This window comes from Homo sapiens, chromosome 1 (genome assembly GCF_000001405.40).
Source record: "Homo sapiens chromosome 1, GRCh38.p14 Primary Assembly".
Lineage (NCBI taxonomy): Eukaryota > Metazoa > Chordata > Mammalia > Primates > Hominidae > Homo > Homo sapiens.
In genome coordinates this window covers 56,427,028-56,451,894 of record NC_000001.11, presented here as the reverse complement: position 1 = coordinate 56,451,894, position 24,867 = coordinate 56,427,028, and the positions used below count along the sequence as shown (strand labels likewise).

Here is a 24,867-nt window from a genome sequence, read left to right as displayed (position 1 = left end):
TAAATGCTCTCCAAGTACAAGCCATTATGTGACTAAATTGCCATAACACATTATGAAGGCTCACCCATTCCAGAGCAGGCAATGCCCTCTGTGCAGGAGGATGGGAGGAGCAGCGCTTCTGCTGTGGGGATGGCCAGCCTGCGAGGCTTCAGCCATGCACCAGGCTTTCTATGGCAGGGGGAAGAGGACTGTACCCAACCAACTCTGTCCATTGAGGACTGTACAGGGAGGAGGCGTCTTGCTAAGGAAAACTCTGTGGGGTCAAAGTCTAAGACACACTGTCTCATGGCAGGGAAGAGGGAAAAGTAAAAGAAAGGAGGGGCAGCGGAGGTGGTTTCCTCTGCATACAGTCGGAGTATGGTGTGCTTTGGGTGAGACATGGGTTCACATCCTGGCTATGTTACACTCACTTTTTGTGGGAGCCTTGGATGAGTCTGTGGATTTTTCTGTCCTTCTTGTCACTCATTTGTCAGATGAGAACATAGTATCCAGATCTGTGATCTGCAGATAGTGTGAATGGAATAATGGCACAGTGTTGGCTACGATGAGGATGCTGAAGTGTGAGTGGAATCAGAATCAGAAGACAGGAGGCTATGGCCTGTGACAGCACCAGGGCAGGCCAAAGAGCGGGGGGTGGTTGGTGGTGGTGGTGGTAATATGTGTGTGTGTGTGTGTGTGTGTGTGTGTGTATATAAGGGTGTGTTACAGTGTCAGTGGGGAAGGAGAAAGAGGGATGGTTTGCAGTTTCTTGAGGTTTGGTAAGGCCTTATCCAATGACATGTCCAAGTATCTTTAGCTTAAATTTCCCTGCCAGGGCTCAGGCCCACACCCCTTCCACGTGGACACCTGTACCAGCCTCTTCCCTGGTCCCTGCCTTCACTCTTGCTGTGATCAGAGTTATCCTTCTAAAATGGAGGCCAGGCACAGTGGCTCATGACTATAATCCCAGCATTTTGGGAGGCCGAGGCAGGCAGATCACTTGAGGCCAGGAGTTCAAGACCAGCCTGTCCAACATGGCAAAACCCTGTCTCTACTAAAAATACAAAAATTTGCTGGGCGTAGTGGCATGTGCCTGTAGTCCCAGCTACTTGGGAGGCTGAGGCAGGAGAATTGCTTGAACCCGGGAGGCAGAAGTTGCAGTGAGCCCATTGTGCTACTGCACTCCAGCCTGGACAACAGAGCAAGACTCTGTTTCAAAAAAAGAAAAAAAAGAAAAAAAAAACAGTAGAGATTTGATAGCATCACTATGATGGCTCCCCCTGTCCTTGGGATAAAAAATAAGCCTCTGAGTAAGAGTATCTTCTGACTGTTGGCAGAGGTCCATTGTCCTCCCTTCCCCACCCTGCTGTGTGCCCCAAGACTCTGACCTGTGTGGAGTGCATTCCTGGACCCACACACATTTACATTTTCAGTTGGATTCAGCCAGTGAAGCCCAGCAAGAGACGGGAGGGCAGGAGGAGAGCAGTCAGTGTTTACCTTTCGCCTCCCTCTTATCTGGTCTTCCCTCTACCTGGAGGCCACAGCTCCTGCCATAGTGTTCCCTATGCTGCTTCCTCCTCTTGCCCCTCCAGGCTTCAGGGTGGTAATGGCTACTAGCCCAGGAGTAGTGCAGCATCCATTATTACTTCTCATCTTCCCTGCCCACAGTTTGTGCAAAGTTCCTTTGCTAAACTTTTCTTAAACCACTCAGGTGAGCATGCCATCTCTTTGCTGCTGGGTCCCTGACTGACAACAGCTTACAAGGTCCCACAGGATCTGCCCCGGCCTATCTTTGCCCTTGAACCCAGTGTTCCAACTTCTCTCCACTATTCAAAGGCAACAGCCTCTTTCTCAGCCCAGAGCTCTCCCGCAACTAGTGCTTTGCCCAGGATGACTTCATTTCTCTGTATTGACTTCCTCCAAGAAGTCTTCCTTAATCCCCCTGGGCTGGGTGTGAGCCCCTTCTCTGGCTCTGATCCCCTGCACTCCCCATCGCAACATGCACCGTATATACTATGATTGTCTGCTTACTCTGTCTTTCCTACCAGACTGTAACCCCCTGTGGGCAGGACAGGCACCATGTCTCACCCTCAGAGAAGGGAGAGGTGAAGAGCACAGACTCCAGAGCGAGGCTACCTGCTTTGTCACTCATCAGCTGTGTTTGTGTAGCCCTAAGCAAGGTCCTTAGCCTCTATATGAACGGTTACCTCATCTGTAAAATGGGGATACAGATAATATCTACCTATAGTATTGTGAGGATTAAATTAGCTCATATACATAAAATACTTAGTTTTACATATGGGATTACTACATGGAAAATGTTAGGTATGTAGTCAGTTTGTGACACAAAGTGTGTGTTCGATGAATAGAGAATGAATGAATTATGTCTAATAGGTATATCATAGCACAATACTCTTTCTCATTTAGTTTTTATAGCAGCCATATATAACAGAAGGCAGAAATTCTATTCCCACTTTTCAGACGGGGACCCTAAAACTTGGAGGGACTTGCCCAGAGACCCACAATTAACACAGAGCTGAGGGACATATGGAACCTGGGAAGTGAGACCCCCTAGCTGGCTGCCCTCTCCTGAGGGTTGGGCAGCCTCTCCTTCAGCTGCCCCAGGGTATGAGGAGGCTGGTGGGATTCAGCTCCAGCCCGTTCTCCTGCTCTGGGATAGGGGAAGCTGCAGAGTATAGAATCCAGTGCCCTTAGGGGCCTCAGCTTTGATCACTTTCCCTGAAAGTCTCTGAGTCACCTTTGGGATTTTCCGGGCCGTAAGGTCCTGGAGGGTTAAAAACAAAAGTCCAATGTGTCGCAAGTTGACCCAGGCGTCCATCTGGGAAACTAGCGGGAGCTAGTGGGAGAACCCCAGGAAGTGAGACTCAGAAGGGAATATGCCTTTAATGTTTCAATGAATAGCAATGATAATAATAATAATTTATTTAAGGTCTGTCATAACTAAGAACATTTATTTGGTGCTTCCGGGAGTGCACGCATGCTCTGATGGCACTCGGCATGCTACACTCTGATCAGTCACATCTGTGCCTGTTGTACTTGTCAGTGGAGATTCTCATTTAACCCCTGAACCCCAGAACTCAGCTCTGTGCCTGATAACCCAAAGGAGTCCCAGTGGTTGTGGAATGACGGACCAAATACATGACTGGATCTAGCATCTTCCTTGTTCCCCACACAACTCCATTTTACAGATAAGGAAACTGAGGTTCAGAGAGGATAAATGCTTCAATGAAGGTAATACTTGTGAATCCAGTTTCTCCAGGAGGCCTCATGGTTTAATGACGAGGAGCCAAAGTTTTCAGATCAAACGGACCTAGGTTCATATTCTCAATCTGCCAGCTACCTGCTGTGTGATATAAGTTACTCAACCTCTCCGAGCTTCAAGAGTGTTATTGGTGAAATGGGCACAGTAATAGTAAATATTTTATCTGGTTATTTTAAGGATCAGCCTAATGCATGCAAAAAGACTGGCACACTGGCACAAAGAAAGAGCTCCGCAAATGTTGGTTACTGTTATCACTATTCTTATTGCCTTTATTATCCTTTTCATTGTTATTTTTTCTTATTTTGTAAAAGAAAGTACTGCACTATGGGTTATTTTGATTATTGAATATGCACCTGGCATATACGAGGACGATGACCAATTAGTGACTGTCCTTTCTTTTTGGGAGTTTCATTTTATTAGTCCTTTTCTTTCTGGGGGTTAGTCTAGTGTAGCCTCTACTATGACTCATGGCCCCAGAGCTGAATGTTTTCAAGGGGTTCATGAAGCCCCAACTCTTGCTGATATGGGAGCATGGAAAAGGATGACGAAATTGGGGGTGATGACCTGGGAGTAGGCTTGCTACAGGCAGGTGGGTAGAAAATATTGCTCAGCTTCTAAGCAAGCCGAGAATCACTTCAGGACAGCCCCAAATTGCCACACTTATCCTGCTCTGCTTGAGAGAGGTGGCCATATGAGCTATTTCAGGGACTTTCCAAGGAATTCTGGAAGCTTCTTGCCAGTCCCTCTCTCAATCTTTCCTTGGGGAATGAGGCTAATTCTTTTTATATCTTCTGAGATATGTTTTCTCTGAAAGACAATTCAAGGGCCAGCAACTTGAACACTATTTTATAATTCAGTTAGGAGCCATGTTGTCTCTCCAACATGGGGAGACTGTACTAATGGGCCTATGCTATATCAGGTTTATAAACCTGGGAGATGCTTACGTCCTTTTCATGATACAGAATGGGAAACTGAGGTCAAGTGTCATGGTTGGGAAGAGACCCAGACTGTGGGACTCATCACTAAAGAGTCAGCGTGAAGGAGTAGGAAATGTAAACCAGCCTGGGCTATAGCCTGGTTTTGCTATTTATTACCTGAGTGATCCTGGGCAAAAACTCCAATACCCTGGACCTCAGTTTTCTTACCTGTGAAATAAGCGTAATGATACCTTCCTCCCAGGAGTAGCAGAAAGCATAGAAAAGATAATGGAAAGAGAAGCCCCTAGCATATACTTGGCATAAAATAAGTTCCCCTTTCCTCCTGCCTCTCCTTCCTTCCTGAAATAAAGAGGGGCTTTGGAATCAGACTGGCCTGGGTTCAAATCCTGTGTGAACTTGAGAAAAGAATTAACTTTTATGGGTCTTGGTTTTCTCATTTGTGAAATGGCAACAAGAACAACCACGTTGAGGGTCTTTGAGGAATCAGAGATGACATAAGAGCCCTCCTAGACAACGCTGCTCTCCTTCCTTCCACTATCCTCCGGGATTCCTTCTGCAGCCTCACAGGCTAGGGTTCCCTACTCTGAGTAAGGGAACAGGGAAATGTGTCTGCAAGTCTCTAGCCTCTCTGGGCAGGTACAGTGTACCCAGCTCAGGGCTCATCAGCAGAGCTGGTGGTGCTGGGGACAGAACACTCCCTTCCAGCCCTCAGGCCACTTCAGGACACAGATCCCTCAGGGGGTGTCAAACCCAAAAGGATCACTGCAACAGTTTCCAGAGGGGTTGTTGGAGACTTGGACACATAAATAACCCCTATGAGACAGCCCCTTGGCATGCCTTCCTTGTGGGGAGTAAACATTACGTTATTCAGAGAGACACTTAGGTTTCAAACCACTTCATATTTAATCAGCAATCATGCTCCCTTCCAAAAGCCATGCCAGGAAAAACATCAGTTTAGTTTTTGACAAGAAACAAGGCATTCTGAAAACTTGTGCACATAGCCCGAGCCTCAAGGGACAAACTCATGGCTCTGTTTGGAGTCAGAGGTGGTGTTTCGACCTGGGACACTGTGGCCAAAATGATGCACTTCCGTCTGGTGTTTGCAGTCGTCCTGAGGAGCAGTGGTGGATTGCTGGAGAACAGAAGGAGGAACCAAGGCTGCAGGCAGAAGAGACTTGCACTGGAATCCCACCTGTGCCTTTCATTAGAGCTGTGCCCTTCAGCAAGATGTTTAACCCCTTGGAGTTTCATGGTCTTTACTGTAAACTAGGAATAACTATGTCTGCTTGGAAGGTTGGGATGAGATCTAGCCAATGCATTCGGTTGAGCCATATGAAATTGCCATTTTTAAAGGTCAAAAATGATAGACTATTGGCAATTGGCAATTTCGTATGCTTCCAGCTACTAGATAAGGTGCCTGGCATATGTGAACAGTCTCTTAACTGTGCTAAGCATTTTACATAATCTAAAACTTTAGTAGGCTTAAGAAATGGGGGCTGAGGCCGGGTGTGGTGGCTCACGCCTGTAATCCCAGCACTTTGGGAGGCCGAGGCAGGTGGATCACCTGAGGTCAGGAGTTTGAGACAAGCCTGGCCAACATGGCAAAACCCTGTCTCTACTAAAAATACAAAAATTAGCCAGGCGTGGTGGCAGGTGCCTGTAATCCCAGCCACTCAGGAGGCTGAGGCAGGAGAACTGCTTGAACCTGGGAGGCGGAGGTGGCAGTGAGCAGAGATTGCGCCACTGCACTCCAGCTTGGGTAACAAGAGTGAGACTCTGTCTCAAAAAAAAAAAAAAAAAAAAAAAAAAAAAAAAGAAGTGGGGGTAGTGAGGTATGGGTAAAAAATCTGATTTAGAAGATCTTTGGGGGAGCCTAAAATCTGCATTTTAACAAACTTGTTATTACTCCTCCAGGTGATTTTTTTTTTTTTTTTGAGACAGGGTCTCGCTCTATCACCCAGGCTGAAGCACAGTAGTGTAGTCATAGCTCACTGCAGCCTCCAACTGCACTCCAGGTGATTTTGATGAGGTGATGCTTAGTGCTCAGTTGATCAAGGCTTTGAATGAATAAAGACCTGAAAAGAAGGGAATAGATAGAATAGTAAATTGCAAATCCCTCTCGCAACTCACTGTCTAGGTCTGTTTGTTTGTTTTCTTTTTTTGGTTCAGATGAGTGTAGCAAGATTAGCGTGTGTGTGTGTGTGTGCGCGTGTGTGTGTGTGTGTGTGTGACTGAGAGAGAAAGGGAGAGAGTTCACGCATGCACTCACAAGAGGGCACTTGGAAGTCCCTCTGATGGCATTTAAGCCACCTAACTCTAATATCTGGGACTTCTCTTCCCCTTTGAATTACCTTAGTCTTTGGATCATTCTGAGGTAGAGGTTGGTCAATATGTGTTATACCCTCAGTAGCTGTCTTCAATATTCTAATATTTAGAACAGTTTCAACTATTTCAAAATGTCCTTAAAAGTTGGAGGAAGAGGTATTAGCCAAGAGGTATTAGCCAATAGGGAAATGTAAATATCAGATCTGGAAGCAAGTTGTGAGCCTGATCCAAGCTCTGCACATCTCAGGTGAGGAAGACATGAGCCAGGAAGGTGATGGCACCTCCCAAGGTTATGCAATGTGAGTTGGGGCAGAGGTGGAGGTGGAACTCAGGTGGAGCTTTGCTCTCGTGGGAGCCTGTAACTAACCTTACCTTAGTCTCCTTATCGCTGTATGGACTTCACAAATCCTGGCCAGCGGGGTCTGAGTTTCCCCAATGTGTACCTACCTGACTTCTTTCAAATGCTCCTTCCTGTTGCAATTTATACTGTACACATATCTTCCAGGTAAAACAGTCCTATTAATTCTTCTATTTATTCAATAAGTATAAATCAAGTACACTGAGGATGCAGTGGTGAGCAAATCAGGCATTATTCTTACCCTCATGAATTCTACGGGCTTCATCTTCCCAATAGGTATAATTATGAGTGCTCTAAGGTAAATGCAATGGAACTTATGTATAATGGCGAGACCTGCTCTAGTTGAGGCTTTGTAGAGGTTGCCTGTTCTTTACCTTATGATGGGTACCTGGTGATGAGTCCAGCCTCCAAAATATTTTTGCAAAGTTTTTTGAATCCATAGTAATCCCAGGCGCCATGCTGGTCTTTATAGCTTAGCTGTAGATATAGAAGAAAGGAGAATGAAGCCAGAAAGAGTGCCGATACTTAAGCCAAGCTGATGTTGGCAAAAGCTTTGTACCTCACATGGTTAGGAGGGAGTCCTACTTCCTGTGGGTAGGTGGTCTTGGGGTCCCCACCAACCTCAGAGGTGCTACCTGTGTTGCTTGGTCTTCAGCTCTGTCCCCACACCTGCAAAACAGGGACAATAAGACTCTTTCCCTCAGAGGGGTTATTGTGAGAATTAATTGAAAAAACATGAAGAAGTGCCTAACTCTGTGTCTTATCTTATAGTGCCTGAAGAATATTAACTCGTTTCCCACAAGAAATTTGCTCCACACAAATTAGACACTATGTGGCATGGGCCAGGCTTGAGCTAGATGTGTTGGTCTCCTAGTCCAGAACCCTCTGACTCTACGATGTCCTGAGCTCTCATCAGGATAAGCTGTGGAACGTTCCAGAAAACCTTAACTTTATGCTTTAAGTCTGAACTTTTATTTAGGAGATATTAGGGATCCACTCTGCTCTTTGAGCAAGGTGTCATATGACATAGCTGCTTTTAGGTCATGAACGACCAGGTGGATGTGGGGGTTGAGGAGGAGATGAAAGCTAGAGGCCAAGAGGCCATTTGATTTTGACTATCTCATGAATTCAGTCCTACGGGAACCCTCAACTCCTAAAGCAGGGCAGGAAGCAGCTGGGAGGGACAGATGGGAGAGTGTTCAACTCCCCAACAGAAGCACTTAGTGGCTGCCTGGGTCATTTGAGCCTGGTTCTGATTTCATGGACACGGCTCATCGCCTGCATCCTCAGTGTCTACTTCAGTGCCTGTTGCTGCTGGGTTGGCTGGTGACCATCTTGTTTTACCCTTTGAAGGAGGCAGTGGCTTCAGACACCAGATTTAAATTGCTGTCACTCAAAATTAAGGCGGTAATCACTCTGCCAGTCACCTATTAGAAATCATGTCATAGTTGTTTTTCATGCAATATCCTTTCCAGACATGGTCTGTAGTTTTCACAGCAACCCTGAAAAATGGGCATTATTATCTATATTTTACAAATAAGGAACTCAAAGTTCTGAGACATTAAACCAATAAACAGTGTGCCAAGGAAACATAGTTTACCAACTGAAAGAAGTAGAAAATGAGCCCAGCCTGCTCTGAGTTTGAAACCTCTTGCTTCCTTCTCAGCCACCTTTTATAGATGCTCCCCTTTTCCAGATGAGGAAACCGAGGCTCAGTAAAGCGAACTGACTTGCCTAAAATCATGCAGCCAGCACAACAGCTAAGTACCAGATAACTTTAATAGAGGGTTCACTATGTCTTGGGCAGTGGGCTAAGACCCTAATGTACACTATCTCATTTAATTCACATAACAGCTTGATGTTACATAATAAATGTGAGAACTGGTATTTATGATCAGGCTTATCTGGCTTCGGGGTTTTCAGTGGTCTGATTCTGCTTTAAAGAAGACAATCTCAAGTCTTCAATGGGAGAGAGGTCATGTTGGCTAAGAAAGCACCTAATCAGAATTTATGGGGTGAAGCTGCTATAAGCCACCACTTCCTCTGAATGCAATTCCTGTCCATTCTTTAATGATGGATAGAAACCTATGCAGTGAGGATCAGGAATGTCTGGCCTCATGTAATGGGCATTTGAGTGAAGTGCACCAGTTACTTGTTATGCTCAATAAAGATATAAAACCCTGAAGACATGAGGATGGCTGAGATCAGATGGATGGGTGCAGCCTGCCTCTCTGGGATCTTTCTTTCCCAAGGAAATTGATGGAAGATGTGTCAGGCTGAGCTCACAGCATTCCAGCCCAGAGGGTCAGCTGTCCGAAACCTGTGCATGCCCTCCACCAGAGATGAGGGGGCTGGGGAAGGGTCTTCACAGTCCCTGACCCAGTAGTGGAGATAAGGCCCTGTCTGCTCTGTAAATACTGCAGACATTCCTGGGAGATGAAAGACAGTTCCACAGGCAGCATCCTAAGCCCCTCCAAACTCCAGGCATGCACTGGCCATCTTAGCCAGCTCGCTCTTTAAACAACACTGTACCATACAGTGACTGCTGTGAAGGGCCCTGGAGGCTGGATGGCAGCAGTTTTATCAGAAGCACAATTTATTTTCTATGTGCATCCCCAGGAGAGCAATCACATTATTGATTTAGAACAATCATAAAGTTAATGGATATTGTTAGAAAGTTTTGCAGCTATATTGAGAGCTTACATATCCACAATCTCTTTTCTCCCTTCTAATAGCCCCATAAGGAGTGCATTGTTATTATCCCCACTTTATGAACTAGGCACTAAGGCCTGGAAAGAGTAAGTTGTTTGTCCTTATGCCTCAGCTACTAAGTAATAGAATAAGGTCTTTTGCTCAGGATGCCTAACTCTGTCTCAGTTTTTTCCTATCATGTGACTTAGAGATCACTTGGTTCAACTTCTGTCTGCCTCCACCACATATTGGACAGATGGGTATCCCATCTACTTGAATATTCAATGTAGCCCATTCCAGGGTTGGACAGCCATAATTTAGTGTTAAAAGTAATGGTAACCATTTTTTGAACTCCTAATAGATACCAACCCATATACTCAATCATATTGCTTCGAATCCTCTGATTAACTTCACATGGTCTAAATTTAAATAAAATGAGTCTTATAGAGCTCAAGTGACTTGCCCAACATCACCCAATCAGGAAGGAATGGAGCAGGGGTTCACATTCAAGTCTGTTATATGACAAACTTCCTGTATTTATCCATAGCCTCACACTTCCTTCTTATGGTGAATGGAAATCAACTCTAATTGCCGTATTGATGTCATAGTTCTGCCCTCTAAAAGCGCAGGACAAGCCTGCTTGCTTTTTCACCAGTGTGTCCACCTGGCTGATGCCAGAAGACATCTTTGCCTTCCAAGTCTTTTCTCCTCCAGGTGCAGAATTTCCAGTCCCTCCATCTCTTCATAATGGGATCAACTGTCGGACGGTTCATGTTCCCACTGTTCACCTTTTAACGCGAAGCATAAAGCGGTAGAAAGAGCATGGGGCTTGAGGTCTAATAAAGCGGGCTCTTTTTCAGTTTGGAGTTTTTATTTTTTTTATTTTTTTTTATTTTTGAGACGGAGTCTTGCCCTGTCACCCAGGCTGGAGTGCAGTGGCGCTATGTCGGCTTACTGCAACCTCTGCCTACGGGTTAAAGCGATTCTCCTGCCCCAGCCTCCCGAGTAGCTAGGATTACAGGCACGCGCCTCCATGCCCAGCTAATTTTTGCATTTTTAGTAGAGACGGGGTTTCGCCATGTTGGTCAGGCTGGTCTTGAACTTCTGACCTCGTGATCCGCCCACCTTGGCCTCCCAAAGTGCTGGGATTACAGGCGTGAGCCACCGTGCCCAGCAGTTTGGAGTTTAATAGCTCTCTTTCATCACGTGGCTTCTGTGAGCCTAATTCATTACATGCAAATACTACCTAATTCTCACGGTTGTTTTAAGAATGCAGCATGGCTGGGCACGGTGGCTCACGCCTGTAATCCCAGCACTTCGGTAGGCCGAGGCGGGTGGATCACTTGAGGTCAGGAGTTTGAGACCAGCCTAGCCAACATGGTGAAACCCCGTCTCTATTAAAAATACAAAAAATTAGCCCCGCATGGTGGTGGGCATCTGTAATCCCAGCTACTTAGGAGGCTGCGGCAGGAGAATCACTTGAACCCAGGAGGTGGAGGTTGCAGTGAGCTGAGATCGCGTCATTGCACTCCAGCCTGGGGACAGAGTGAGACTCTGTCTCCAAAAAAAAAAAAAAAAAAGAATGCAGCATATGAAATTAATGATGTGATATTTTCTTAGAAAAAGGTAGATAAAAATAGATAGATGTCCAGGTAGCATTGTTTATAAAAGCCCAACAAATCAGAGGAAACTATCCCTTAAAAGAGAAACAGAACCAACGTAAATATCCACGACAAGAGAATGGTTAGGTCACAGCAGTACATCAATGTACTGGAATATTATACAGACATTAAAGTTTTTCTTGAAAAGAAATGCCTTTGATAGAATGAAAATTAAAATAACAGAGATATAAAACTTTATCTCTAGTATGATCTCAACTTCACAAGAAGTGAGACTAGAGTAAAACATATCCCAACATTAACAGCAATTATCTTAATAATTATCTTAAGACAACAGACTTATGGGTTGTATGTGTGTGCATGTGTACATATGTATATATATATTATGCTTCTTTGCATTTTTCTATTTTCCAAGTTTTCTGCAATGAGCATGAGTCCTTTTGAAAATCAATGCAAAATATGAGGCTCAGAGTGGAGCACAAAGAACACCCCCCAAATAAGGCCTCACTGGCCTAAAGATCAATTAGTGCCTTTTCAAAACTCATTTGTTTTTTTGCAGTGTCAAAGTGCCATTTCAGCGTCTCTCCTCTGCTCACTCATCTCTTTTGGCTTCACTATCTTGATTTGACTGGGTTCAAAGAGGAAGCAAACACAATAGACTAAAGCCAGTCTTTAGGAACTGCCTGGGTTCATGCTACAAATAGGATGTGCTGATATAGTCTTTAAAAAAAAAACCCACAACACCAACAACCTCTTTTAACATCTCAGTGAATAAGGAGCACAAGGAGAAAATTACCTCCAAGGTGATATTCTGGCCATGTTCACCTGCTCCTGGAGCATCAGCTGTCCCGGGCATGCCAGGGCAGGGCAGGCTGCCAGATGAATGAATCTGGCCTAAGATGCCAGTGGGTAATCCGGGGACAATGGGACTTATCAGGATTTCTCCCTAAGTTATGTGTTCTGTATCCAAAAATATTTTAACTGATTGCCTCTGGGAAAACTGCTGTCTCCTACCTTCTGGGAAAGGCAGTCGGGGAAAGGCAAGGTAAGAGAATGTTTTCTGAAGTTGCTTCCACTCACATGTACAGAAACAGCAGCAGCAAGCTGCACCTTCTGTGAGTAAATGGTACTGAAAATGGCAGGACCTTTGCCTCCTTCCTGTTCTGCTCTTAGAGTGGCAAGCTTTGGGGCCTTACAATGGAACTACGTGAGAAGGGAAGGAGCACAGATAGTATGGGGTGCATCTCCTTTGTTGTTACTAAACAGAAGGCACCAAGATCTTTCCAAGGTCATCCAGGCAGTGAGACAGGATTAGAACCAAGCGTGCCTGGCCCCGGTTGTCCTTTAGAGCACAAGAGGGAGAACCAGCAGTCATCTGTTCCACAGTCCCTCCCAGAAATGCCAATGTCAATGCCACCTATCACCTACCCAGTATCTGCTGTGCACCAGGCACTGTGCAGAAATGTAGAAACCTGATTCCATCTGTTATGGGCTGCATTATGTTCCCCCACAAATAAATATGTTGAAGCCCTAACTCCTAGTACCCTAGAATGTGGCTATATTTGGAGAAAGAGTCTTTAAAAAGGTATTTAAAATGAGGTCATTCGAGTGGGCCCTAATCCAATACTACTGGTGCCCTCATAAGAAGAGGAGATTAGGACACAGAGGTAGGACCATGTAGGTCACCAGGAGAAGATAACCATCTATGAGCCAAGGAGAGAAGGCTCAGAAGAAGCCAACAGTGCCAACACCTTGATCTCAAACATCTAGCCTGGAGAACTGTGAGATAATAAGTTTTTGTTGTTTAAGCCACCCAGGTCTGTGATACTTTGCTATGGAGCCCTAGCAAACTAATGCACCATTTTAGCCATAGCCTTGCTAGAAAGACCACTGGTCCCAAATGAAGAAACTCAGGCACAGCGTGGTGAAATAACTTGCCCAAAGTCACAGTTAATAGGAAGGCTTTGATTAGAACTCGGTCTCATTGACCCCAAAGCCTGGGGCTTGACCGTTACTCTGAGAAGAAATGGGACCATTTATGTGAAAGTGCATTGCAAACTGTAAATAGTTATTGAACGAACACAACATCAGAAGGCATTGCTTCTTATTTCTACTATGGTAAAGTAGCATTCTCTTTATAGGAAATTCCAGGTTGAACCTGGTCTTTCTTCTAGAAGGGCATTTCCTGGGGATACTTTGCCCTTTAATCCCGGGGGGCTCTTTTCAGGTTAGAGAGCGTCTTCCCAAATAATCTAAGAGTTGCAAGGCATTGTGAGGCAGCGATTTGGAGCTAGGACTCTGTTTCTCTCCATCTACCAGAGGCATGGGGGTGACCTTGGGCAAATCACAGAGTCTCTCTGGGCCTTTGAATCTGACCTTCACACATTTTGGATTGTTCTGCCAACTTCTGCTGTCAAGTTCTCTGTGGGCATTTTAGTGAAGTACTCTATTTTCCTGTAGGCAACCCCATCTCACTACCAATCATAAAATAACGTTCATTGTTCCCACCCTCTGCCCTTGCCTCCTTAATGGTGACTCATCCCTTAAATCAGGCTCAGCAATCACTTCCTCTGGAAAGCCTTCCCAGCCTGGACCAGTTTCCCCTGTTATAGGATAGGTTAGCTCCAGAAAGGATGCATCTCTGCCAGAGCCTCAAACTCAGCCTAGTACATGGTGAACTCTCAACAAATATTGGTGCATAAATTAATCTCCTCTTGTATTGCCCTGTCCTGTGCTTTCCTTTCACAGTCCTTATAGTTTTAAAATTATGCAGCTGATTAATGTCTGTCTACCTGACCCGAACCACTAGACTGTAACTCCATGAGGGCAGGATTGTTGTTTTGGCTCATCATTCCATTCTAAGCACCTAGCAGTGTCCTCAAAATAGTAGGCACTTAAAAAATATTAACTGAAACAATTAAAGTAAGGAGATAGGGAGGTTTTGATTCATCCAGAAGACATGTCACCCAAGTGAATTTCCAGGGCTTAGGAGAGCTCACTCTACAACATTCATTAACATACTTTTTTTTTGCCCATCAGTCTTCTCTTGTGTCTGGCAATGCATTTACAACATTGTTAAGAATTATCTTGGCCTCCATGTGGTCACGACCTGAAGGGAGAGGCTGGCATTGGAGGTGGTAGTAATAATTCAGTGCTCTAACTCCAGGCAGGAGCTGGGGTCTGAGCAAATGCACAGCTGCATGCAATCCATGTAGGTGTCAAAGGATCAGGGAGGGCAGAGGGGAGGCAATTTTTGAGCAAAATATTGAAGTCTGAGTAAGTGTACACTTAAGGGGGAAGGAGGGAAAATTCATGGTAGGCAGATGAAACACTTAAGCAAAGGCCTAGCATGTTAAAGAACGAGGCTCGCTGGGGGAAGAGCAATTAGCCTGCATTCCTGGAGCTCTGCTGTGTGGGGGAGGGGAGGGGAGAAGAGTTGGGAGGTGAGGCTGGGAAGGTGGGGTGGACTCTCTGGAGACTTTTCTAAAAGGAGGGGAAGAGCCGGTTGTCAGTCTTATCAAGCAGGGACTCAGCTTTTGTCCCCAGCACAGGCCCAGCTCCTTTGATCCGCAGCAAGGCCATTGTTTCCCCGGCAGTGGCCTCTCTGCTTCACAGGGGAAAATGTGGTCTTTGTTCTCCTGAGACTTTTTATCCAAGTCCTGCCCTGGTGGGGACAAACCGGGCGGGGCTCCATGTGAGGATCCAGTCTCTGGCAGCTGGGGGACAAGGGCAGCCCCTGTACCCTTTCCTCTGCCTTGCGTGGGCTACACAAAGCCCTTAGAATCCTCTTGCTCAGTACAAATCATGCTGGGTTGGGGGTGGAGAGAGAATTGTGGGCAAACACTTTCAGCTTCTTTATTTTGAAAAATTGTTTTGTTTCCAGCTCAATCATAGTATAAATCAAGTGCAGTAAGTCCTGGTAAAAAACTAGGTTTGATCTTACCTGAACCACTTACTGGCTGTGTCACCTGGGATAAGACATTTCACCTTTGGAGTCACAGTTACTTTCTCTGCAAAATCCAGAAAATAATACTATTTACTGCACAGCATTGCAATGAGGTTGATGCATTCATTCATTCATTCATTCATTATCTATTAAGCACCTACTCCGTGTCAGGCACTGTGTAGTTCATTCTCCAGTGTTTCTTTAGTGCCTGGGCACAGAGTAGGTGCCAGGCACTAAAGAGACACTGGAGAATGAAATGGACTTGATTGTGCCCCACCCCCACCACCCCATGAAGCTTACAAGGGAAGGAAGGCATTAAACATATGCTTGCACATGTAAGTATTGCAAGAAGAAATACAGCTTGCTACGAGACAGGACTTCACTGAGTCTTGGCTGGGGGTGGGACAATCAGGGAAAGCGCCCCCAGAAAAGCGATGCTCATGTTAAGATTTGAAAGACATGGATAAAAGAGCCTGGTCCATGAGAGATGGTCTGAAAATATTAGTTCCCACCCCCTCTGCCTTGGATCAGATCCCTCACCAACACCTGCTGGGTGTGAATGGGCTTAAGAAGCTCCCCCTCCCCTCTAGGGAACTTAGCTGAAAAGAAGTGGATTCTGGGAATTGCTTCCAGGGGCCTGGAAATTGATGAAGACACATACAAGGGAATGAACATGGGGCCAGCTGTGACATTTTCTGTGTGCCTTAATGAGAAGTGCTGGGGCTGTACTACCCGGAGCTGAACTCTTGGCCCAGCTTGCCAGGCTGGAGGAGGAGGGGGAGTTGCTTCACAGACTGCAGGGCTTTGTGAGGGGAAAACAAATGGGTCTGTAACTTGATGGAGGCAGAGGGGAGGCTGCCAGAGCTGTGAGCCTGAAGAATAGCTTTCAGAGGAGTGTCAGGGGAGGAGGCAGCCTCTTCCCTCAAGCTAGGGGATGTGCAGAGCAGAGCTGGCTCTTGGATCATCCCCAAATCTGGATTGTGTGGGCCATGCTGCTCTGGGCACCCCTGGGCTGAGTTACTCACCTATATCCAGTACTTTGTACGAGCCAGGGGCATTTACAGAGGGTATCAGAGTTAGGCCTTGCAGCAACCCTAATGGGTGGGGGGTACTTCTACCCCAATTTTGCAGATGAGAAAGCTGAGGTTCAGAGAAGTCAAGTAACTTGCCTGAGGCCACACAGCTAGGAGTGGTGAAGGTGAGATCTATATTTAGTTCAGTATGACTTTAAATCCATATTCTTCCTTATGTATCATGCTGCTAGATAATTTTTTGATCAATATTTCCCTCTGAATTTTTAAAATGTAATAAAGAGTCCCTTGTATGTAATATGTTTAACAAAGAACTCTTGCAAATGCCATGATGCTTGCCCTGTGAGTTGAAATGCTTTTATCCTCAGATTAGAGATGAGGAAATGGAAGGTCAGCGAACCCGGTGGATCTCTTAATGCCACACAGCAAGGAAGTCAGGGAGCTGGGTAGATGCCAAATCTCTTGCACTTTCCACCACTGTCTTGAGACCCAGGTGGGCTCTTCAAGGTATCCGCTGACATCCAGACCTTCTCCTGATCCTTAAAATTAAAAGCCCAAGCACAGTCAGTTTGTTTTTCTAACAGACTCAGAGTGTTCACTCTTTCTGACTCTTGATAAAGCCAGCAGTCAAAATCTCCTTTCCTGGGGCCCCTCCTTCTGAGAAAGGGATGGTTAGCCATGTGTATTTTTCACTGGGGCTCCCACAAAGAATGTGCATATAATACGAAACATATGTCATTTGTGCTTGTGGGAGTGCCCCTACCCCATGCCCTTCCCTGCACAGCTGGGAGCCCCATCTGCAGGAACCCTGTGCAGGGGGATGGAACCATACACACCTAGAGAGGGGCCCGCCAGACCTGCCCACCTCCTGCAGGCAGAACTGGGTACTGATCCCCTCTGCTCTCCTCACTTCTCCATGGGAGTCCTGGTCCCACCACGTTTTCATTCTTGGCAAAGAACGGTGGGGCTGGGATTCAAATCAGGTGTGTCTGAGGTCAAGCGTGAAACATACCTTGCATGGGCTACAGACATATCAGTGGATGAATTAAAGAATGAACTGGGGAAGAACACTTCTGCCTCTGGTTTCTATGCAGTAGGTGCTGTTTAAAGTTTACTGGAGGAAAGAGTAAGTACACCCTGATGGGGGAGCTTCATAGTGGGTGTGTTTCAGGAGAACTCTGGAGCTGAAGGAAGCACATTGGTATTTTGTCCTTTCCCTTCTTAGAAGATAGATTGTCAGGCACAGTGGTTCTTGAATTTGACGTATATTGGCATCACCTGGAGGGTTAGTTAAAGTACAGATCGCTGGCCCCACCCTGGTCTTTCAGATTCCATGGGGCCAAGGATGGGGCTGGAGAATTTGCATTTTTAACAAGATCTCATATGATGTGATGCTGTTGGTTTAGGGCCACACTTTGGGAACTACTGGTGTGTAGGAAGAAAGAAAGAATGGTGGGTGGAGCTTGTGAGACGGAAAGATAAGAAATGAGATTATACCATGCTCAGAGTCAACATTCTAAAACTCAAACTTGGAGACATGACTCACGTGCTCAAATATCTCCCTGGCTTCCCACTGCCTTACCAGTTGGGCTCTGCTTTCGTCCCCAGCCTCATGGTTTACATTCCCCTCTTGGACTCCTTATCTCGTGCCACAAGCTTCTCATCCTTCCCCTAATGCAGTGGTCCTTTTCTTCTTTTCCTACCTTTGCACGTGCTGCTACTTCTACCTTGGCAACCCCAGTCCTCTTTTCTAAACCTGGAAAACTCCTTTTCTAAAAGAACCTATCAACTGCCACCTCCTCTGAGAAGCCTTCCTTGATACTCCTAAATGAAGTTTTAGCTTCCTTCCCTGTACTTCTACAGCAATAAGGTTGTATCTCTACTCATGGCTTCATCCCCTATACTGCAGTTGTTTCTTGCCTCTTTTAGCCTGGAATCTTCTTGAGAGTAGGAACTTTAGTCTTATTTATCATTCTATCCCAGGCCAGGGCCTGACACATAGCAGGCACTGGATAAATGCTTGTGGACAGAATGGGTCCATGATAATGTCTGTTGTGCATTTGTTATGAGTTCGGTGCTGGGTGAAGCAGTAGAGAGTAGGATAATCCACGGTAGGCCATTCATGCAGCTGCCCTGGGGAGGCACTGTCCTGAGTGCTGGGGATCTCTCTCTAAAGAATGGGAGAGACAAGCCCTGGCTCACATACAGTTTCTTGCAAGAGCCGGAGAAAGGCATAGACTGGTTAATTTCAGCAGGAATCAGTGCAGTCATGGGGGAAACACAGGGTGTCAAGGGAACTCATAGCAGTGGCACCTCATCTGAGCGGAATTGGAGGTGAGGATCAAGGAGGTGACATCTAAACTGAGACCTGAAGTAGGAAGATGAGGAAGGAAAGCTAGAGCATGGCACATTTGGGGAACTGAAATTGTCAGGTTGGTGCACACAGATGGAGTGGCCTTGACTGGGGCATGAAAGTGTGGCTAGATTCGGAACAGGTGGGGGTGAGGGCAGATTGGGGGAGGCCCTCTGAGAATGATAATATGGGGGAAGTGGGAGACCAGGTGGTCCTTGCTGAGAGAGGTGAGAAAAAAACAACAGGAAAAGAAAACAAAACACAGAAGAAAGAAAGCGACTCTCATGGTGCCATCCAGTCTGAAGACATCTTGAGGGCATGAGGTCAGTGCAGACCGACATCACCAGCAGGGGCTTCTTGGAAATGCAGTTATCAAGGATGGGAGGATTTGGAAGGTGAAATCAAGAAGGGGGAGCAGTGGGTAGAGGAGGACCTGAGGGAAGGTACATGGGTAGCGCTGAGCAAACAGCATGGGAGGTCAGGAGGCCAGGCTGGCAGAGCTAAGCACACAGAAACAACCCTCTTCATCAGGTTGCCTACACTTTCCAATCCACAAAGCCCTGCAAGCACAAGCACACAGCCCAAACAGCCCTGGCAGGGCAGGGATCACCTTCCCACGTTCCAGAGGAGGCAACCAGCACAGGGAGTTATGGGAATTAGAGGAGGGAAGTCACAGGGCCATGCAGTTTGTTCTTTTGCGAGGGGTTGACCTTTCCCCAGCTTTAAAAGCCCTAAGCCAGCAGCTTTTCCAGGGGCGAACAATGCAGGCTACTCCTTGGCAGGCATTGTGGTTTCTCTCTCACCTGATTTTTTTTTTCCTGTTCCAGTTAGCATTTAAAAACACCACCAACACAGAAATCACTCTTGCCCTCCTTAAGCCCTATACCTGTGCTGTCTCGTCTCTCTGGTTCCCTGAAAGGAATTAGGCTTTCTGGGCCTTTCTGGGCCATCGGGGAAGGGAGGGAGCATTGAAAGCTCCTGGTGTGTTAGGATCATGCTAGGCATGTTGATACATGAGGTCCCATTTAGTCTTTACCGCCAGTGGCTGAGGGGATTTATAGACAAAGTCACCGAAGCTCAGAGAGATGAAGCCCTTTGCTTGAGTTCACATTCTTAGGTGGTGGATCCAATCCCAGATCTGCTTGAGTTCAAAAGAACAGAATAAACAATACAAGCCAGTAGAAAAAGCTCAGAAACCAGAGCCTCTACCTGGGGATCAGTGTTGGGTGGAGAATATTTCCGGAACGTGATATGCTCTTTCATGGGTTCATCCCTATTCACATGCTGATCTCCTTCTTGTACTTTCCAACCTCCTCTACCCACAAGTTCCTGTTCATCTTTTAAGCAATCTGAAGATGGCTTTGAGGATCTCTGCCTGTGTTAGGTGCTCCTTTTCCAACCTCCAATTTCTTTGTGTTTATCCTTAATATAGAATTTAGCACCATCTCTTATAATGGATGTTTTCCTGGGCTTGTTTCAATGGAGTACAAACTCCCAGAGGCAGGGTTTGTATGAATCTCTGAATTCTCTGCCTATGACAGCACTTGGCATACAGAAGGTGCCTCAGTAGATTCTTGTTGAATGAACGAATGGACAAATGAAGGACTGTATCTTGTCCTTAGATTCTTTTTACCACAGTTGATCTAGTAGTCCCACCCTCCATATTAGCCTGATGAAATTCACAGAGGTGAAATGATGTGAGCAAAGTCCCAAAAGTAGCCAGATGAAAGCCAGCCAAAGCGAAATGAAATAAGCAACAACAGCAACTAACGTCCCTTGTCCCCCAACACTTTGTAATGCTCAACCACCCGGATCTTTCATCCAGAACTCATGTTGTTCTGTATCAGCCCTAGAATTGTAGCTGAGATTGGTAGCTGCCTGCCAATATTCATTCTCTTCTTGCTTACTAATGTAAATGAATTGGGGCTTGCAGTGTGTTCAGTTTAAGAAGCACATTTCTTAGCCTCCTTAGCAGCAAGGTATGGTACTGGGATTAAGTTCTGGCCAATGAGATATAAAAAGTTTTGGGGTGGAATGTTGGTGAAACCACCTTGAGAAAGAGGGTGTTGGGGAGATGGCAGATACAGCAGACCCTTCCTTCCTTCCTTCCTTCTTTCCCTCCCTCCCTCCCTCTCTCCCTCCCACCCTCCCTCCCTCCCTCCCTCCCTCCTTTCTTCTTTCTTCTCTTCTGTTCTCTTCTCTTCTCTCTTCCTTTTAGAACATGGCACAGTGATAAAGTCATAGATTCAATCTTGGATCATGAGGTAATCTTGAAGGTGGACCTGTGCTGAGGATGGAGAAGCTGAAAGACAGAAATAACTCAGTTTCCTAAAGACCATGGAGTCCTGGATTGCTCACTTTGAGACTTTGTTGTTGTTGTTTTTTAAAGAGGCCAACTCTCATTCTGTCACTCAGGCTAGAGGGCAGTGGCATGATCATAGCTCACCACAGCCTTCAGCTCCTGGGCTTGAGCGATTTTCCCTCCATAGCCTCTTAAGTAGCTGAGTCTATAGGTGCACACCACCACAACCAATGAATTTATTATTTTTTCATAGAGATGGGGTCTACTATGTTGCCCAGGCTGGTTTGGAATTTCTGGCCTCAAGTGTTCCTTCACCTTGGCCTCCCAAAGTGCTGGATTATAGGTGTGATTGGCCCGAGGCTGTTTTTAGAAATACAATCCAGAAAGCTGCCAGCAGTGGAGCCTGGCTGAGTGGGTGTCCTGCAGGTCTGAGAATGATTCACAGCTGTGGAGCTCCTGGATCATTCATCAGCACCACCTAAGACCCTGCTGTATCCAATAGGAACAGGGTAGAACTTGGACACTGTGGGTGTGGGAAGAAGGGGTTCGTGTCTCAGTTCCTCCCATGATGGTCTATGACTTTTTCGGCTGATCTCAGCTCATTGCACTTTGAGGCTTGAATGGATTTTAGAGAACCTAGATGGAGTCTGTGTTAGACACTGAGGGTTGCCTACCCAACAGCTGTTTCACATTTTTGCTTATCAGAACACTGATTCTGCTGCTGTTTGTTGTAATTCGTTTTCTCTTTCTCTGATTTGTTTAGGTAGAGGCCTGTGGTTCCTTTCTTGCCTCAGCACCTCCCCCACCACCATGAAATACCAGGGGCACATTTGGGAAAGTTTTCCTTATTCTTTTCTTAAGGAGAAGTCCAAGACCAACACTTCCCTCCTCTTGCCTTTGGGCATTACTGTGAGGGTGTGAAGTCTGGAGCCTTAGGAGCCATCTTGACACATCAAAGAATCACACTGAAAGTGGTGTGTGACCCTGACACCTTTGAGACACTGCAATACCCAACGTGGGACCCCTCCATCTGGACTACTAGCTATGTGAAATAATAGATATTATTATTGGTTATTATTTATTTATTTATGCAGCCATAAGCAGCCTAACTTACCTAGAATCTAAGCTCCATATTTGACATATGGGAAGAATGAGGCTCACAGAGAAAAAGCAAATTGCCCAAGGTCACACTGTGGGTATGACAGTGTCAGCCTAGAATCTTTTCTCCTACCTTCCTCTCTCATGGTGAAAGAAATTTGTTTCCTGCTTAATACATGGGTCACCTCAAGAATCAAGTGAGATTCCACATGTATTTGGGATAAATGGAGACCATCTTAATTGTTCTTTCCGTTTGCCTCCCTACATTTAGGCTGCTATAACAAAATACCTTAGGCTTGGCAATTTATAAACAACAGAAATTTATTGCTTATAGTCTGGAAGCTGCGAAATCTAAGATCAAAGCACAGATAGATTCAGTGACTGGTGAAGGCCTGTTCTTCATAGATAGTGGCTTCTTGCTGAATCCTCACATGACAGAAGGGGCAAACAAGCTCTCTTAGGCCTCTTTTATGTGGGCACTAATCCCACTTACGAGGGCTCCTCCCTCATGACCTAATTACCTCTCAGATATCCCATCTGCCAACACCACTGTACTGGGGATTAAGTTTCAACATGTGAAATCTGGAGGCACAGAAGCACTCAGACCACAGCACCTTTCTTTCTCCATGGGGAGTCAGATACATGAGTTTCAGTCCAAATCTACTATGGTGAGCATAATTCTTCATGATGACATAAACAATCACTCCTATATTAGTCCGTTCTCACATGCTATAAAGAAATACCTGAGACTTGTTCATTTATAAAGTAAAGAAGTTTATGCCAGGCTTGGTGGCTCATGCCTGTAATCTCAGCACTTTGGGAGGCCAAGGTGGGTGGATCACCTGAGGTCAGGGGTTTGAGACCAGCGTGGCCAATATGGTGAAACCCCATCTCTACTAAAAATCCAAAAATAGCCAGGCATGATGGTCGGTGCCTGTAATCCCAGCTACTTGGGAGGCTGAGGTGGGAGAATTTCTTGAACCCGAGAGGTGGAGGCTGCACTCCAGCCTGGGCAACAGAGCGAACCCCATCTGAAAAAAATGATAATAAAAAATAAAGAAAAGAAGTTTAGTTGGCTCATGGTTCTGCAGGCTGTACAGGAAACATAGTGGCTTCTGCTTCTGGGGAGGCATCAGGAAGCTTCCAATCCATGGTGGAAGGCAAAGCGAGAGAAGGCATCTTACCTGGCTGGAGTGTGAGGAAGACAGTGAGGGGGCGGTGCCACACAGTTTAAAACAACCAGATCTCATGAGATCTTACTGTCATGGTGACGACATGGGTGGGTGGTGGGGAGGTGAGGGGAGATGGGTTAAACCATGAGAAACTGCCTCCATGATCTAATCATCTTCCACCAGGCCCCACCTCCAGCACTGGGGATTACATTTCAACATGAGACTTGGGTGGGAACACAGATCAAAACCATATCACCCCTCATATTTACTTTATATAGCATGGTAACATTGACAAAGGTTTCCATATCTATTATTTCATACAATTCTCACAACACTACAGAGTGTGCTAGGCTATGATTATTATCCCCATTTTTCAGATGAGGACTCTGAGGATCAGAGAGGCTAAGTGAATCACCTGAGGAAGAGCCAGTCTTTGAAATTGAGGGGTGAGTAGATTAACTACAGGTCTACACCAGACAGTTACACTGTCAGTGTTCTTTATTTCTTACAAAGCCTTTTTTCCTTCTAAGGTCTAGGTTAAGACCTCCAGTGACTCTGCAAAGTAGACCAAGCGTGTATGGCTATCCCCATTTAACAGTTGAATAAGTAGAGCTTTGGAGATATGAATGATGTATCTCAGTTCACAGAGCCAAAAAGTTGTCCTCTTTCCATAACTCCAGAGCATTTTCTACAATCATCCTCAGTTTGAATATCTGGTCTTGTGGTGGGTAGGGCAGATAGGTCATCCCTGTATAAGTCATGTGTCCCAGGGGCAGAGAGAGGCCAAGTGACTTGGTTGAGATGACTGTGCTGACAGCAAAAATAAGAATCTGGGTTTCCTGACTCCCTGTCTGTTGCTCCTCTTTTCTCTTCCAACTTCCACAGCCATAGGTGATATTGGCCTGTGTTACCTCTCATCATATAATCCAAAAGGGAATCATATTTTATTTCTTTCTTTCTGTTTTCTTTTTCTTTTTCTTTTTGAGATGGAGCCTTGCTCTGTTACCCAGGCAGGAGTGCAGTGGCACGATCTCGGCTCACTGCAACCTCTGCTTCCTGAGTTCAAGCCATTCTCCTGCCTCCCGAGTAGCTGGGATTACAGGCACCCACCACCACACCCAACTAATTTTTGTATTTTTAGTAGAGACAGGGTTTTACCATGTTGACCAGGCTGGTCTCAAACTCCCGACCTTGTGATCTGCCTGCCTCGGCCTCCCAGAGTGCTGGGATTACAGGTGTGAGCCACCACACCCAACCACTTTCTTTCATCTCTCTTGGAAATACACCCATCTTATCCATGGTTATGCCCTATTTCCTGGAACATTGTCTGGCTCAATACATATTAGTTGGATGAATGAATGCATCTCTGAATTCCAACCAAATACTTATTGATTGTTAGTCACCTGGCAGGCCTTGGGAGAGGGTGACAGGGGCAAGCTCAGCCATAACAAAAATTTACCTTTAAGTCCCACTGTCCCCACTGGTCTTTGGCCTCATGGGCTTCCTGTGGCATCCTAGGCATGGTTCAGACCTAAGCCACTCTGGCAGCCCCATCTCCAGCCCTGGTGGAGCTTAGAGTAAGCACTGCTCTCCATGTAGCCTAGAGATATATTCATCCACTCTATTTATTCATGTATTTATTCATTCCACTAATTCATTCACTCATGCAATAAACAGCCCTAGTACTGGACCATGGGGATAATGAGACAGAGAGAGTTCCTGCCTGTGAGTTCCCCATAGCTTAGGGTCACAAGTATAAGCAGATATGAAAA

General features: G+C 45.9%; 2 long non-coding RNA genes across 4 annotated transcripts in view, besides 4 other annotated features; one reads left to right on the top strand and one right to left on the bottom strand.

Moving 5' to 3' along the window:
- Positions 1-24,867, top strand: part of LOC124904185 (uncharacterized) — a 74,169-nt gene that overhangs the window by 32,441 nt on the left and 16,861 nt on the right. Inside the window, exon 2 of one of the 3 annotated variants that reach the window (XR_007066104.1) lies at positions 23,473-23,541. The exons of 1 other annotated variant lie outside the window; for it this stretch is intronic. This is a non-coding gene — a long non-coding RNA (uncharacterized LOC124904185). Of the gene's footprint in view, positions 1-23,472; positions 24,102-24,867 lie in introns of those variants that run through there. One more of the 3 variants, XR_007066105.1, reaches the window with a different exon arrangement.
- Positions 2,664-2,958: an enhancer, noted in NCBI's record as "tiled region #6809; HepG2 Activating DNase unmatched - State 5:Enh". NCBI's record gives its function as "activates a minimal TATA promoter and a strong SV40 promoter by Sharpr-MPRA in HepG2 cells {active_cell/tissue: HepG2}" and the evidence as "EXISTENCE:reporter gene assay evidence [ECO:0000049][PMID:27701403]".
- LOC124904189 (uncharacterized) lies at positions 6,160-7,524 on the bottom strand. The gene is made up of 3 exons (XR_007066110.1): positions 7,443-7,524; positions 7,258-7,360; positions 6,160-6,275 (listed from the first exon to the last, which is right to left on the bottom strand). It is a non-coding gene; the product is annotated as an uncharacterized LOC124904189 (long non-coding RNA).
- Positions 15,824-16,118: a silencer, noted in NCBI's record as "tiled region #1049; K562 Repressive non-DNase unmatched - State 22:ReprW". NCBI's record gives its function as "represses a minimal TATA promoter and a strong SV40 promoter by Sharpr-MPRA in K562 cells {active_cell/tissue: K562}" and the evidence as "EXISTENCE:reporter gene assay evidence [ECO:0000049][PMID:27701403]".
- Positions 15,824-16,639: a biological region, named in NCBI's record as "Sharpr-MPRA regulatory region 1049".
- Positions 16,025-16,639: an enhancer, noted in NCBI's record as "NANOG-H3K27ac hESC enhancer chr1:56900928-56901542 (GRCh37/hg19 assembly coordinates)". NCBI's record gives its function as "activates a minimal SCP1, AML or CMV promoter by ChIP-STARR-seq in naive H9 embryonic stem cells {active_cell/tissue: H9 hESC(naive)}" and the evidence as "EXISTENCE:reporter gene assay evidence [ECO:0000049][PMID:30033119]".